At 49.0% G+C, this 14709-nt stretch overlaps 1 protein-coding gene across 6 annotated transcripts in view, besides 1 other annotated feature; it reads left to right on the forward strand.

Annotated features, from left to right (window-relative positions):
• RNFT2 (ring finger protein, transmembrane 2) overlaps window positions 168–14709 on the forward strand; it is a 115317-nt gene continuing 100775 nt past the window's right edge. For all 6 annotated transcript variants that reach the window (NM_001382266.1, NM_001109903.2, XM_047429745.1 and 3 more), the window contains exons 1-4: window positions 168–223; window positions 2198–2374; window positions 2889–2947; window positions 11694–12160. In NM_001382266.1, the coding sequence (NP_001369195.1) occupies window positions 2351–2374; window positions 2889–2947; window positions 11694–12160 (550 nt within the window). In that variant the 5' untranslated portion in view covers window positions 168–223; window positions 2198–2350. The remainder of the gene's footprint in view (window positions 224–2197; window positions 2375–2888; window positions 2948–11693; window positions 12161–14709) is intronic.
• Window positions 191–450: an enhancer, noted in NCBI's record as "active region_7100". NCBI's record gives its function as "activates an Ori minimal core promoter by ATAC-STARR-seq in GM12878 lymphoblastoid cells {active_cell/tissue: GM12878}" and the evidence as "EXISTENCE:reporter gene assay evidence [ECO:0000049][PMID:35858748]".

The following is a 14709-nucleotide window of genomic DNA, read 5'->3' on the forward strand; positions in this document are numbered from 1 at the left end:
ACGGCGGCCTCCTATTGGTTAAGTGCCGGGAAAGGGGGCGGACAATCGCGTGAGTGCTGCGGGCGTAGCTGTGCCCGGGTCCTAGCGCCGGACCCGGCGACGCCAAGAAACCACCCAATAGGAGGCCGGAAGCATCGGAAGTCACATGCTGCCCAGGCTGCGCGGGTGATTGGCTTGGCTGGACCTGAATGATGCGGCTGTGATTGCTGAATTGTCTGGGCAGGTAAAAAGAGAACGCGATTTTTTTTTCTTTTCTCCCATCATGGTCTGTGTAGTCTCCTGCCCTTGCAGTCCCAGAGCGTTTTGCGCTGTGTGTTGGTTGCAGGGATGAAAAGCGCTCGCGACGTTGTTCCCGAAGTGCACCTGCCGGCTTCCAGTCCAAGTGATGCAGGCGATGCTCCTCTGAGTGCATTTCGGTGCAGTCCTGTAACGGGCCCCAGGGGCGCAACTTGAACCATCGCAAGCATCGAAAAGTCTCGGTGCGGTCCTTCAAAGGGACATAGTGGGATGTACAGAGCAGAGGATTAAAAAGCGTTTCATTCATTCAGATGCATCCCGCGTGCAAAAATTTATTCCAGAATTATGTACGGCCTGCTTCCGACAAAGAATCCGAAGCCTCTTCCAATACAAGCATCCGAAAGTAGAGTTTCGAGCATTCGATTTAGGAGTTAAATGTGTGGATGAGAACTTTGGAATATGAATTTTATTTTCCCCCAAGGATTTGCAATGTGGGATAATGGAGGGAGGGGCGAGAGGAGGATTAAGTTGAGATTGCAAATTCTTGAAAAATATTTATATAATGACCTTTTCTTGATATATGAAGATGCTGCTGCTGACCGGTTTGTTACCTAATTTTTCAAAAGAGAAAGGAGGCTTCACTGGCGGGTCATTTTTAATCAGTGGCCCTAGTGACACCATTGCTGCCCCCTCAAGAAGCCTGGTCAGGATTAGGAAGTCATTCAACAGCCAATAATCGTGCCCTAAACTGAAGTCAGACACCATCTGACTGATATAGACACCCTATATCCACAATATTGGCTCTGCCTCCAGAGACAAGAAGATATTCACGGAGGCTAAACCTTTTCATGGGAAGTAGATGGCCCTTATTACCTTGCTAGGGTGAAAGGTGGGACAGGGAGCAAGGGATCTAGAAAAGGGGAACTGGGAGACCCATAGATGTTTTATTCATTGAGTAAATACTTGTTGAGCGCCACTCTGTGCCAAACAGTGTCCTGGATGCTGAGGCAGAGGGGTGATCCAAGTAGACAGGATCCCTACTTTCAGGAATGGCATTTATATTCTAATGGGGAGGACAAATCATAAATAAATAAGCAAACATGAACAAATAAGTGCTATGAATAATATAAAACAGGGCAATATTACGGGGAGTCAGGAGAATGAGAAGAGAAGGCCTCTGGGAAGAGACGACATTTGCCCTGCGGGACCAAGCCCTGCCACATTTAGAGGAGAAAGTATTCCAAGGGGAGGGCACAGCAAGTGCAAAGGCCCTGAGGCAGGGACACGCTGACACATTAGAGGAACAGAAGGGCCACTGTGGGTGGACAGGAGTGGGAAAAGGGAGAATGGGAGGAAATGCAGTTGGAAACAGATGATGCTACATCAGGAAGAACCCGTAGGCTATGGACAGAGCTCGGGTTTGATTCTGATTGCACTGGGCAGCCGTTGGAGGGTTTAAAACATATTTTCTGGCTTCCCCAATCAGGACTCTTAGTTTGACAATAGGATGAAATACAATACCTTAAGAGTTTCAAAGAGGGCCGGGCATGGTGGCTTATGCCTGTAATCCCAGCACTTTGGGAGGCCAAGGCAGGCGGATCACTTGAGGTCAGAAGTTTGAGACCAGCCTGGCCAATATGGTGAAATCCCATCTCTACTAAAAATACAAAAATTGGGTGGGCGTGGTGTCGCATGCCTGTAAGCCTGTAATTTCAGCCACTCAGGAGGCTGAGGCAGGAGAATCGCTTGAACCTGGGAGGCAGAGGTTGCAGTGAGCCAAGATCGCACCACTCCGTCTTAAAAAAAAAAAAGGAGTTTCAAGGGGGGATCACTGAGAGGCTACCCAGAGATACTGAGCAGATGGAATCATCTGCTTATAGCTACCAACAATGTCCTAAGGCTTCTTAGCAGATTCAAGGTATCGCAGGGACTGTTCATCCAGGTGTTCTGTTCCATCCAGGTTTGGAGTCTCTGGCAAGCTCCCCTGACTGTGCATCCCTCTGGAGACGAAGAGGAGGGGGAGGCCTGTCCTCTCTGGGATCCATTGGTCACATCCCCCTGAGGATTCCCGAATGCCTACCTCCAGTGTCGTCAACATGGAGTTCTGAAGTCCATGTGGCTCTTCACAGTGAATCAGGTGACACGTCTCCAAGAGAATTTGCATCTTTATTACTACTTGATTAAATGTGAGAGCTGGAAGGAAGTTTTGGTTTGACCACTCCACCCCTCCCATGTAACACATGGGGAATCTGAACCCACAGAGGGGTTACTGATTTGTCTAGGGTCACAGCAAGTTAGCAGCAGCATCAACCCAGAATCCATGTCTCCTGCCAGTCCGCTGCCCACTTCACTTCATCCAGCACCTCTTGGCTGCACAGTTTACCGCGTTATCCTCTCACATGAGGACTTTCTCCACCTCTGAGTCTCATCGTCCTCCTCTGTGAAATGGGGTGATAGCTTTCCTCATGGGATAGAATGTCACATTGAGGATGGAATGGCATGAAAGATTGAAACATACTTTGGAAAATGCCAGAGAGCACTAGGGGTCTAAGATACGACTAGTGCAGGTTTGCAGTTTACAATTACCTTGGCAATCTGACAGGCAGTGGGAGTGTTGGGAGACTCTGGCTCACCCATGTGTTGGGTTTTAGGTGTTAAGGAAGATGCAGAGACGCCACAGCAGCAACACGGATAACATTCCACCTGAAAGGTAGGCATCCCTGCTTCTGTTCCATCTGAGGGCTCTAGGCTTCGGGTGGTGAGGGGCAACCCAAAACTGGATTGAACAATACCTCACCCTCAGCGTTAGTTGTTAGAGTCACACTGATGGCCTCATACTAAACATTCAACGCATAATAGCTTGCTCTTTCTTTTATGCTAAATTTCAAAGTCCTGTGTGATAGGTGAGCCACCTGACTCATTGTATCAATGAATGTACCTGTGGAATTTTGATTTATAGAGATGTCTTAGTCCATACAGGCTGCTATCACAAAAATATCATAGAATGGGTGGTTTAAACAACAAATGTTTATCTCTCACAGTGCTGGAAGCTAGGAAGTCCAAGATGAAAGCTCCAGCATATTCAGTGTCTGCGAAAGGCCCACTTTCTGGTTCACTGATGGCCATTCTTTTGCTATGTCTTAATGTGGTGAAGGGAAAGGGATCTCTCTGGGTCTCCTTTTTAAGGGCACTAATCCCATTCGTGAAGAGCCCATCTCATCACCTAATCATTCCCAAAGGCCCACCTTCCAATACGATCAAATTACAGGTTAGGTTTCTTTTTTGAGAGAGAGTCTTGCTCTGTTACCCAGGCTGGAGTGCAGTGGTGATCATGGCTCACTATAGCCTCCAAATCCTAGGCTCAAGCAATCCTCCTGCCTCAGCCTCCTGAGTAGCTGGGACTACAGGCATGTGCCACCATACCTAGCTAATTTTTAAAATTTTTTGGTAGAGACGGGGTCTCACTAAGTTGTCCAGACTGGCCTCAAACTCCTGGGCTCAAGCGATCTTCCTACCTTGATCTCTCAAAGCCCTGGGATTATAGGTGTGAACCACTGCACCTGGCATGGGTTAGGTTTCAACATAAGAATCTACACAAACATTGAGATCATAGCTCTGAGAAACAACACGGAGAGGCTAATGACATTGAAAGATGAGATTTTTATTTCTTCCATTTCTCAAGATGAAGGGGCATACTACTGCTTGCAGGGCCACCTGGGGAAGCACCAGCAATAGTCAGAGGGCAGAAAGGACCGAGGAAAAAGCATAGGCCACAGCCTTTATTGTGTTTTCTGGGGGAAAGAAAGGCAAGGCAGGGGCAATAGTTTAGGACTGGCTAGTTTGAATCATGTTGGTGGGCTCTGGGGTACCGAGGTGGTTTCTTTTTTTTTTTTTTTTTTTTGAGATAGGATCTCCCTCTGTTGCCCAGGCTAGAATGCAGTGGCACGATCTCGGCTCACTGCAGCCTCGACCTCTCAGGCTCAAGCAATCCTCCTACCTCTCAGCCTTCCGAGTAGCTGGGACTAAAGGCATGCACCACCATGCCCGGCTAATTTTTGTATTTGTAGGGACAGGGTTTTGTTATGTTTCCCAGGCTAGTCTCAAACTCCCGGGCTCAAGCGATCTGTCCGACTTGGCCGCCCAAGCTCCTGCTCGCTGGGATTATAAGCGCAAGCCACCACGCCTGGCCTCAAGGTGCTCTTTAGTTTGGTGTCTGGCCCTAGATGATTTAGGACAGGAGAAATATTGGCTGCGTGTGTAAAACTTAGATGAAGGAAGGGCCATGCAGTGACTCACGCCTGTAATCCCAACACTTTGGGAGACCAAGGTGGGAGGATAACCTGAGTCCAGGAGTTAGTTGGAGACCAGCCTAGGTGACATGAGGAGATCCTGTCTCTACTAAAAAACTTTAAAACTAGCCACGTATGGTGGTGCATACCTATAGTCTCAGCACTTTGGGAAGCCAAGGTGAGAGGATTGCTTGAGCCCAGAAGTTTGAGATCAGCCTGGGCAAAATAGGGAGACCCTATCTCTACAAAAAATAAAAACTTACCCAGCATGGTGGCATGCATCTGTGGTCCTAGTTATGCAGGAGGCAGAGGTGGGAGGATTGCTTGAGCCCAGGAGGTGGAGGTTGCAGTGAGCTATGATTGCACCACTGCATTCCAGCCTGGGCAACAGAGTGAGACCCTATCTCAAAAAAAAAAAAAAAAAAAAAAAAAAGGTTAAATGAAGCAGTGGTTGGGGTTATGGGCTCTGGATCACAAGGACATGTAAATAACTTTGGCCGTTAGTTTGGCCCTGTGATTAATAGATACCAGGTAGAATCTAAAAAAAAAAAAAAAAAAAAAAAAAAAAAAACCGGTTAAAAAACACTCATGAGCTAGAATTTTTTTTTTTTGAGATGGAGTCTTGCTCTGTCACCAAGGCTGGAGTGCAGTAGTACAATCTCAGCTCACTACAACTTCCGCCTCCTGGGTTCAAGCTACTCTCATGCCTCTGTCTCCCGAGTAGTTGGGACCATAGGCACGCACCACCACGTTTGGCTAATTTTTTTGTATTTTAGTAGAGATGGGGTTTCACCATGTTGGCTAGGCTGGTCTCGAACTCCTGAGCTTGGGCAGTCTGCCCACCTCAGCCTCCCAAGGGGCTGGGATTACAGGCATGAGCCACTGCACCCAGCCTAGAATTTATATCTATTGAAACCCAAGAGGGAACACACCTGGGGGCCTGTTCTCAGATTGGGACAGCCTCCAGCCCCAGAAGCCCTGTCCTAGCACATACATCCAAGGGGCGGGCAGCCAAGCCTTCCCTTCCTCACATCCCATACCCCCTGCGACTCTGGGGTTGGCTACAGAATCACAAATGGTATCCCCCGGTCCCAGCACTGGGACTGAGTTTTGTATGGTGCCTGCCTGTTCTGCAGGGAAGAACACGGGGCTCAGCCAAACCCCAGCTCAGCCACTTCCCACCTGTGGTGACTTTGATACATGACTTCACCCCTAGGTCTCAGCTTCTCCATCCAAAAATGGCAGGTAACAGAACTCAAGAGTTGCTTATGGGCCAGGCATGGTGGCTTATGCCTGTAATCCCAGCACTTTGCGGGGGTAAGGCAGGCTGATCACCTGAGATCAGGAGTTTGAGACCAGCCTGGCCAACATGCTGAAACCCCATCTCTACTAAAAATACAAAAATTAGCCAGTGTGGTGGCAGATGCCTGTAGTCCCAGCTACCCAGGAGGCTGAGGAAGGAGAACCACTTGAACCCTGGAGGTGGAGGCTGCAACGAGCAGAGATCATGCGACTGCACTCTAGCCTGGGTGACAGAGTGAGACTCCTCCTCAAAAAAAAAAAAAAAAAAGAGTTGTTTATGGATGAAGGAGTGAGTGTGAAGATGCAGAAACAGCATCCGGCTTGTAATAAGCCTGCCTGTTGGAACCTTTTCCGCCTCTAAAGACAACATTGTCATCTGCTCTCAAGTGAACCATGAGATCTCTTGCGGGCAGAGAGCACAGCAGGAAACTCAAACCGTGTATTGAGTGCTTATGCTGTGCCAACCGCCACATTAGCCCAGTGAGAGCACCCATTTTACAAATGCAGAAGCTGAGGCTCAGAGAGGGGAAGGAAATTACCTAAAGTCACACAGCCAGGAAGTAGCAGGGCTGAGATTTGGGCCCCCATCCCTGTGTCCCCCAGCACCTGTGCTTTGAGATAGCACATTTTGGCTGCCTAGTGTCTGAGCAGAACCACTTTTCCTCCTGGGTTGCCTCAAGCTCTGGCGCTTAAGTGGTTAAGTTGGAAGCACAGCCTCTGTCCCCCTAAGGAATATTCTTTCCCAGTCAGGCTGAAATCTCGGCTGGATGCAGGGGAGAGGCCCAGGGAAGGGAGGCCAGCTATAAAAAGCCCCTTGGTGAGTTGAGTCTTCCCTGGTTGTACTGGAGGCCCCTGAGCCCAGTGAACTCAGAGTGCTGGCAAGCTCAAGGGGGACAGGATGGCTTTCTAGGGCCCCTTGGGTGGCCACGGAGAGAGAGTGGCCTCCTCATGGACCAACATGGGTACCTGCCAGGGCTCTTGCTTTCTGAGCTGAGCTCTTTGAAGTGCAGAAAAAGCTCAAGGCCCCTTGAGGATCATAGCCATGGTGTTTGCTGTTGTTGTCATTATTAATATTATCATTATTATTATCCAGAGCCCAGTGGAGGAGGAGCGCATATTTCCTGGGCTTTTGGAGCCAGCAGGGGTGGGGCTTGGTGAGGGAGGGAATCCAATCGTGAGTTTCCTCCATTGCACCAGATTTTTTTTTTTTTTTTTTTGAGATAGAGTCTCACTGTGTTGCCCAGGCTGGAGTGCAGTGGCACAATCTCAGCTCACTGCAACCTTTGCCTCCCCGGTTCAAGCGATTCTCCTGCCGCAGCCTCCTGAGTAGCTAGGATTATAGGCATGCACCACCATGCCCGGCTAATTTTTGTATTTTTAGTAGAGAGGGTTTTTTGCCATATTGGCCAGGCTGGTCTCAAACTCCTGGCCTCAAGTGATTCTCCCACCTCAGCCTCCCGAAGTGCTGGGATTACATGTGTGAGCCACCACACCCAGCCTGCTTCAAACTCCTGACCTCAAGTGATCTGCCCACCTCAGCCTCCCAAAGTGCTGGGATTATAGGCATGAGCCACCATGCCTGGCCTCACTAGGTTTTTAGTAACATACCTGCAGGCCCAGTTTGTGCAGCCAGGGAAACCACCGTGTCCCACTGCTGTGTGTCACAGGTGTTCTGCAAGCTGTTAAATGGTTTTTCATGGATAAAAAGAATTCTGTGGTCAAATAAGTTTGGGGAACACTGGGCTTAAGCAAAGTCCATTATTTCACTTGCAGGCCTTCTCAGAGCGTTTAGTATGCCTGTTCATGTATTCTTTCAAACACTTTTTATTAAGCATGTTCTGAGTGCCAGGTGCATTGTGCCGGGTGGTAAAGATACAGTGGGGAGCAAGGTTATGGTCTTTGACCTTGTGGAGTGGAGCTCTGTCCAAAGCTATGGTTTGCAGCACTGACCACACATTAGAATCACTGTAGCGGGGGGCAGTGGGGAATGGTGGCTCATGCTTGTAATCCCAGCACTTTGGGAGGCCAAGGCGGGTGGATCACTTGAGCTCCGGAGTTCGAGACCAGCTTGGCCAACATGGTGAAAACCCATCTCTACAGAAAATACAAAAATTAGCCAAGCATAGTGGCGCACACCTGTAATCCCAGCTACTCGGGAGGCTGAGGCATAAGAATCACTTGAGCCCGGGAGGCAGAGGTTGCAGTGAGCCGAGATCGCGCCACTGCACTCTAGCCTGGGTGACAGAGGGAGACCCTGCTCAAAAAAAAACAAGAATCACTGAGGGGACTCTGAGTAACTTCAGGTGCTGGGGCCCACCCATAAAGATTTTGATTCAGTTGGTCTCCAGTGGGGTCGGGGCACCTGTCTTTTGCAAAAGCTCCCCCAAGTGATTATAATATATGGCCAGGATTGAGAGCCACAGGTCTCAAGGGAAAGATGAGGAATAAAATAACAGCTGTGATCAATCCTGTGCAGGTGACATGAGGGTGCAGTGAGAGCAAGGAGCAGGGGACTGTCATTGTCTAGGAAGGAGTGAAGCCTCAATCCAGGGAGGGAGATTTTAGCTGAAATCTGACAGATGAGCGTGCATTACCTAGTTGGGATGGGGTACGGGTTAGGGGAGACATCCGGTGAAGGTGATAGCCTGTAGTAGAAAGCCCTTGAATGATGAGAAAGGGGCACATGATAAGATTGGAGTTTGGAGTCAAATAATCCAGGGCGCCTGGCAACTTCATCTCTCTGAGCCTCAGTTTGTTTGTCAGTAAGGAACATGATATTTGGGAATGATATTTGTACCTGTCTAGAGGGTTCCTCTGAGACCATGGGAAGGAACACAGAATGGGAAGCCCTGGGAGGGCTTTTAGTGGGATCGTGAAATAATCAAATACAGTCAGCCCTCCATATTCATGGGGGAATTGGTTCCAAGACCCCACGGATATGATAATATGCAGCTGCTGAAGTCCCTGGTATAAAATGGCTAGGACAGTCAGCCTTTTGTATCTGTGGGTTTTGGTCCACGACTCAAGGTTGGTTGAATCCTTAAATACAGATGCTGGACATATGTGTTTTATTATTATTTATTCATTTACTTATTTATTGAGAAAGCATCTTGCTCTGTCACCCAGCCTGGAGTGCAGTGGCGTGATCTTAACTCACTGCAACCTCCACCTCCTGGGCTCAAGCCATCCTCCCACCTCAGCCTCCCCACTAGCTGGGACTACAGGTGCGTGCCACCATGCCTGGCTACTTTTTAATTTTTTGTAGAGACAGGTTCTTGCAATGTTGCCCAGGCTGGTCTTGAACTCCTGGGCTCAAGCAATCTGCCCACCTTGGCCTCCCAAAGTGCTGGGATTATAGGCGTGAGCCACCATGGCTGGTCTTTTATATATTTTAAAACATATTTCCTGGAGCCAATTGCAGTGGCACATGCCTATAATCCCAGCTACTCAGGAGGCTGAGGTGGGAGGATCACTTGAGCCCAGGAGTTTGAGGCTCTAGGGAGCTATGATCACACTATTCCAGCCTGGGCAACAGAGTGAGACCCCCGTCTCACTCTGTGGATAATGGTCTCATATAATAGATGATATGAGATCAAGTATGAAAACAGTGGAAAATTTCCACCAAAGCCTCCCTCCTGCTGCCATTTCGGACTGAATAACATCTGGCATACATTTATTAAGCACCTACTGTGTGCCCTGGGTTGTGGGGTCCAGAGGATGAATGAAGCCCAGCCCATTATCAGTAAGCTCATGGTACATCTGGAGTCTCTTAGTGGTCTGTGGAGGTGCCTGCAGGGTGAGAGAAGGAGGGAGTGGCTCTTTGTCCTCCTGCTCCCCAACACATGCACGTCGAGCACATCGGCTCCGCTTGCATCTGTGGTGTGGACTGAGTTTGCAATGTAGTGATTCCACTTGAAAAGAGGATGAACCCTCGGCCGGGCACGGTGGCTCATGCCTGTAATCCCAGCACTTTGGGAGGCCGAGGCGGGCAGATCACATGAGGTCAGGAGTTCAATACCAGCCTGGCCAACGCGGTGAAACCCTATCTCTCTAAAAATACAAAAATTAGCCGCACATGATGGCAGGTGCCTGTAGTCCCAGCTACTCGGGAGGCTGAGGCAGGAGAATCGCTTGAACCTGGGAGGCGGAGGTTGCAGTGAGCTGAGATGGCACCACTGCACTCCAGCCTGGGTGACAGAGCAAGGCTCTGTCTCAAAAGAAAAAAAAAGAAAGAAAAGAGGATGAACCCGAGAATAGAAAGATGGTACCCAAAACTTGATGTTCGTAGGAAACTGCACCCAATTCTGGGCTCTCCATTCCTGCAGGCCTAACTCCGGGCTCTCTGCTCCGCCAGCAGTGGCTCTGCAAGAGCTACAGAATCCTTTGCCTGATTCCAACCCAAGAGGCCCTTGCTTGGAACTAGAGAAAGCAATATGGCACTGCAGGTCTTCCATAGGAACTAGAGATAACAGTTCCCACGTATTGAGAACCTATTATTGCAAAACGTATTTTAAATTTAACACCCCCACCCCCAGAAATTCTATTCAGGAATAAAGGCCCATTTTTCAGGTGAGAAAGCTGAGTGCAGAGGTATAAGGCCCCTAGAACAGGTGGAGCTGGAGTTTGAATGTGGGCCTCCCAGCTAAGTCTTCTTCACATTACTCTCTGCCGCCCACCCAATGTCAGCTGTGACCAAGGCTGGCCCCTCTGGGGAACTGGGGGCCATTGAACTTGAAGACTGCAGAGCCAGCGGTCCTTGGGATCCCGAGGTAATTCTAGAATCATAGAATTCTGTGCTCCCTTTTCAACGAAGTGTGCTGGTTACTAAAGTGGGCTCTAGAGAGAGTCGGCCTGGGTTCGAATCTCCCCTGCTCCATCCCTTACCAGCTCTGTGACTCTGGACAAGTTACTTTCTCTCTCTGAGCCTCCATTTCTTTATCTGTAAAGCGGGAATATCAGTAGGACCTAATTCCAGGGTTGATGGGAGGATTTAGTAAGTTAATCAATGCAAAACACTCAGAAGACTATCTGACACGTAGTAGGTTTCAATAAAGGTTACGACCTATTGTTATTAATATTATTTGTATTAGTTCCTAGGACTGCCGTAACAAAGTACCACACCCCAGGGGGCTTAAACAACAGAAATTTCTTATAACAAATTCTGGAGGCTGGAAGGCTGAGATCAGGGTATCAGCAGGGTTGGTTCTTTCTGAGGCCTCTCTCCTTGGCTTGTGGACAGCCGTCTTCTCCCTGGGTCTTTACATGGTCTACTCTCTGTACCTGTGTCCTAATCTCTTCCTCTTTCCCCCCCCACCACCCCTTTTGAGACAGGCTCTCTGTCGCCCAGGCTGGAGTGCAGTGGCGAGATCTTGGCTCACTACAGCCTCAACCTCCTGGGCTCAAGTGATCCTCCCACCTCAGCCTCCTGAATAGCTGGGACTACAGGCATGCGCCACCATGCCTGGCTAATTTAGCTCTATTTCTTGTAAAGATGGGGTCTCCCTATGTTGCCCAGGCTGGTTTTGAACAACTAGGCTCAAGTGATCTTCCCACCTCTGACTCCCAAAGTACAGGGATTACAGGCATGAGCCACTGCATCAGCCCTAACCTCTTCTTACAGGGACAGCAGTCACACTGGATTGGGACCCACTCCAGTGACTTCATTTTAACTTCATTGCCTCGTATAGACCCTATCTTTAAACAGGGTCACATTCTGAGGTCCTGGGAGGAAGGACTTCATGTGAATTTGAGGGGGACACAGCTCAACCCATAACATAATTGATATTATTAGTCCCCATCCTCCTCTGGAGTAAGGTCTTTTCCATCTGCCTGACTTCCTGGGGTTTCTCTCCCCTTGGCACCCAGAAACCGCAGCCAGGCGCTCAGCTCCGAGGCGAGTGTGGATGAAGGTGGCGTCTTTGAGAGTCTGAAGGCAGAGGCAGCCTCCCCACCAGCGCTCTTCTCGGGCTTATCAGGCAGCCTCCCCACCAGCTCGTTCCCCTCCAGCCTGGTGCTGGGCTCCTCGGCTGGCGGCGGGGACGTGTTCATCCAGATGCCCGCGTCCAGGGAGGAAGGAGGGGGCCGGGGCGAGGGGGGCGCCTACCACCACCGCCAGCCCCACCACCATTTCCACCATGGCGGCCACCGCGGGGGCTCCCTGCTGCAGCACGTGGGTGGGGACCACCGGGGGCACTCGGAGGAGGGAGGCGACGAGCAGCCTGGGACGCCCGCCCCCGCCCTGTCCGAGCTGAAGGCTGTGATCTGCTGGCTCCAGAAAGGACTCCCCTTCATCCTGATCCTCCTGGCCAAACTGTGCTTTCAGCATAAGCTCGGTGAGTTCTGGGGGCATGGGTGTCCTAGCCATGGGCTTCACAGGCAGGCTGCCTGCAGCCGGTGGGGTGGGGGCTCCTCCTCTGAAGCCCAGGGAGAGGCAGCAGAGACCAACATGGGCTTCAGGATGTGGGATTCTGAGTCAGACCTGGGTTCAAATCCTGGCCGACTAGCTGTGTGACTTCAGGCAAGTCACTTGGCTTCTCTGAGCCTCAGTTTCCTCATCTGTCTAGTGGGGGTTAGGATAGAAACTTCCTCGCTGGTTGGCTGGTGTAAAGGAGTGCTGTGTAATAACTCAGACTGCTGGAGTCTGCACCCTAGCTCTGTCCCCTCCTAGTTGTGTGATGCTAGGTGCATTATTTAACCTCTCTGTGCCTCAGTTTCCTCATCTATCAAGTGGGGGTATGATTTTATAGTCTTCATGGGATCACAGTGATGTTAAATTTGACTTAATATGTGTAAAACACATTATTTTTACTATATGTGTGTGTGTATATATATATAATATATATATTATATATATAATATATATATTATATATATATAATATATATTATATATATATAATATATATATTATATATATAATATATATATATATATATTTTTTTTTGAGACAGGGTCTTGCTCTTTCAGCCAGGCTGGAGCGCAGTGGTGCAGGTCTCAGCTCACTGCAACCTTCGCTTACTGCAACTTTTGCCTCCCAGGTTGGTTATCCTCCCACCTCAGCCTCCTGAGTAGCTGGGACTACAGGCGTGTGCCACCACACCCGGCTAAATTTTAAATTTTTTCATAGAGTCGAAGTCTCACTATATTGCCCAGGCTGGTCTCAAATTCCTGGGCTCAAGCAATCCTCCCACCTAAGCCTCCCAAAGTGCTGGGATTACAGGTATGAGCCACTGCCCCGGCCTACTATATTTGTTATTAACACACATTGAAATATTTAACATAGAGCCTGAATTGAAATATTCAACACAGCAAATGATGAATAAATACTACCTATTGTTATTTTTAGGAAATAAGATAATGATTCATAAAGTGCTCAGCCTCCTATCTGACACATACTCAACAGTCAATAATTGGCCTCTAGTATACTGTTTTCTGTTTGTTTGTTTTGACATGGAGTTTTGCTCTTGTTGCCCAGGCTGGAGTGCAATGGCGCGACCTCTGCTCACTGCAACCTCCACCTCCCGGGTTCAAGCAATTCTCCTGCCTCAGCCTCCCGAGTGACTGGGATTACAGGCAACCGCCACCACACCCAGCTAATTTTTGTATTTTTTAGTAGGGACGGGGTTTCACCATGTTGGCCAGGTCTCAAACTCCTGACCTCAGGTGTTCCATCCGCCTCAGCCTCCCAAAGTGCTGGGATTACAGGCGTGAGCTACTGTGCCTGGCCTAGTATACTGTTATTGTTATTATTAATCTTACTTACTGTTTTTTTGTTTGTTTGTTTTTGTTTTTGTTTTTGTTTTTGAGATGGAGTCTCACTCTGTCACCAGGCTGGAGTGCAGTGGCACGATCTCAGCTCACTGCAAACCTCTACCCACTGAGTTCAAGTGATTCTCAGCCCTAACCTCAAGTGATCCACCTGCCTTGGCCTCCCAAAGTGCTGGGATTACAGGTGTGAGCCACCACACCCGGCTTACTTATTAGATCATGGTGTTGCTGTGCCCTGGCGGGCTTATACACTGTTGTTTTAGTACTGCAGTAGGAGTGATGGTAAGAATTATCTTGTGGTCTACTACTTTCCATGAGAAAATATCGGTCAGGTGTGGTGGCTCATGCCTATAATCCCAACACTTTGTGAGGCCGAGGCAGGAGGATTGCTTGAGGCTGGGAGTTCGAGACCAGCCTGGGAAACATAGTGAGACCCTATCTCTACTGAAAAAAAAAGAGAGAGAGAGAAAGCTTCGAGAGGAGATGAGACCATTCTTTATTTCTTATTTTCTTCTTTCTGGTGACTGCCAGCTCGCTCAGATTCCTCCACCTTCCTTGCTGGGGTGCTGCCCTATCAGCCCCACCCTTTCTATTCCTAGAAGTGAAAGCTGGCATCTTCCCCACTACCCTGAATTCTGGCATCACAGCTAAGTTTTGTTTTGTGAGTATGATCATTTTATTTTTCACTTGGCAGGTTTTTTTTGTTTTGTTTTTTAATCAAAGAGAAGAGTACCAAAAAGGATTATGGGGCTACTCATTCTTGTTTTATGTGCTTATAGTGAAGAAATACAGCTTCTACAAAGTAGATCTGGAAAAATAGCTGGAGTACACATACCTATTAAAAGAGTAAGTGCGACCAGGTACGGTGGCTCACGCCTGTAATCCTGGCACTTTGGGAAGCTGAAGTGGGCGGATCACTTGAGGTCAGGAATTCGAGACCAGCCTGGCCAACATGGTGAAACCCCATCTCTACTAATAATTCAAAAATTAGCCAGGTGTGGTGGCACACACCTGTAGTCCCAGCTACTCGGGAGGCTGAGGCACAAGAATCACTTGAACCCAGGAGGTGGAGGTTGCAGTGAGCTGAGATCGCACCACTGCACTCCAGCCTGGGC

This window comes from Homo sapiens, chromosome 12, assembly GCF_000001405.40.
Source record: "Homo sapiens chromosome 12, GRCh38.p14 Primary Assembly".
Lineage (NCBI taxonomy): Eukaryota > Metazoa > Chordata > Mammalia > Primates > Hominidae > Homo > Homo sapiens.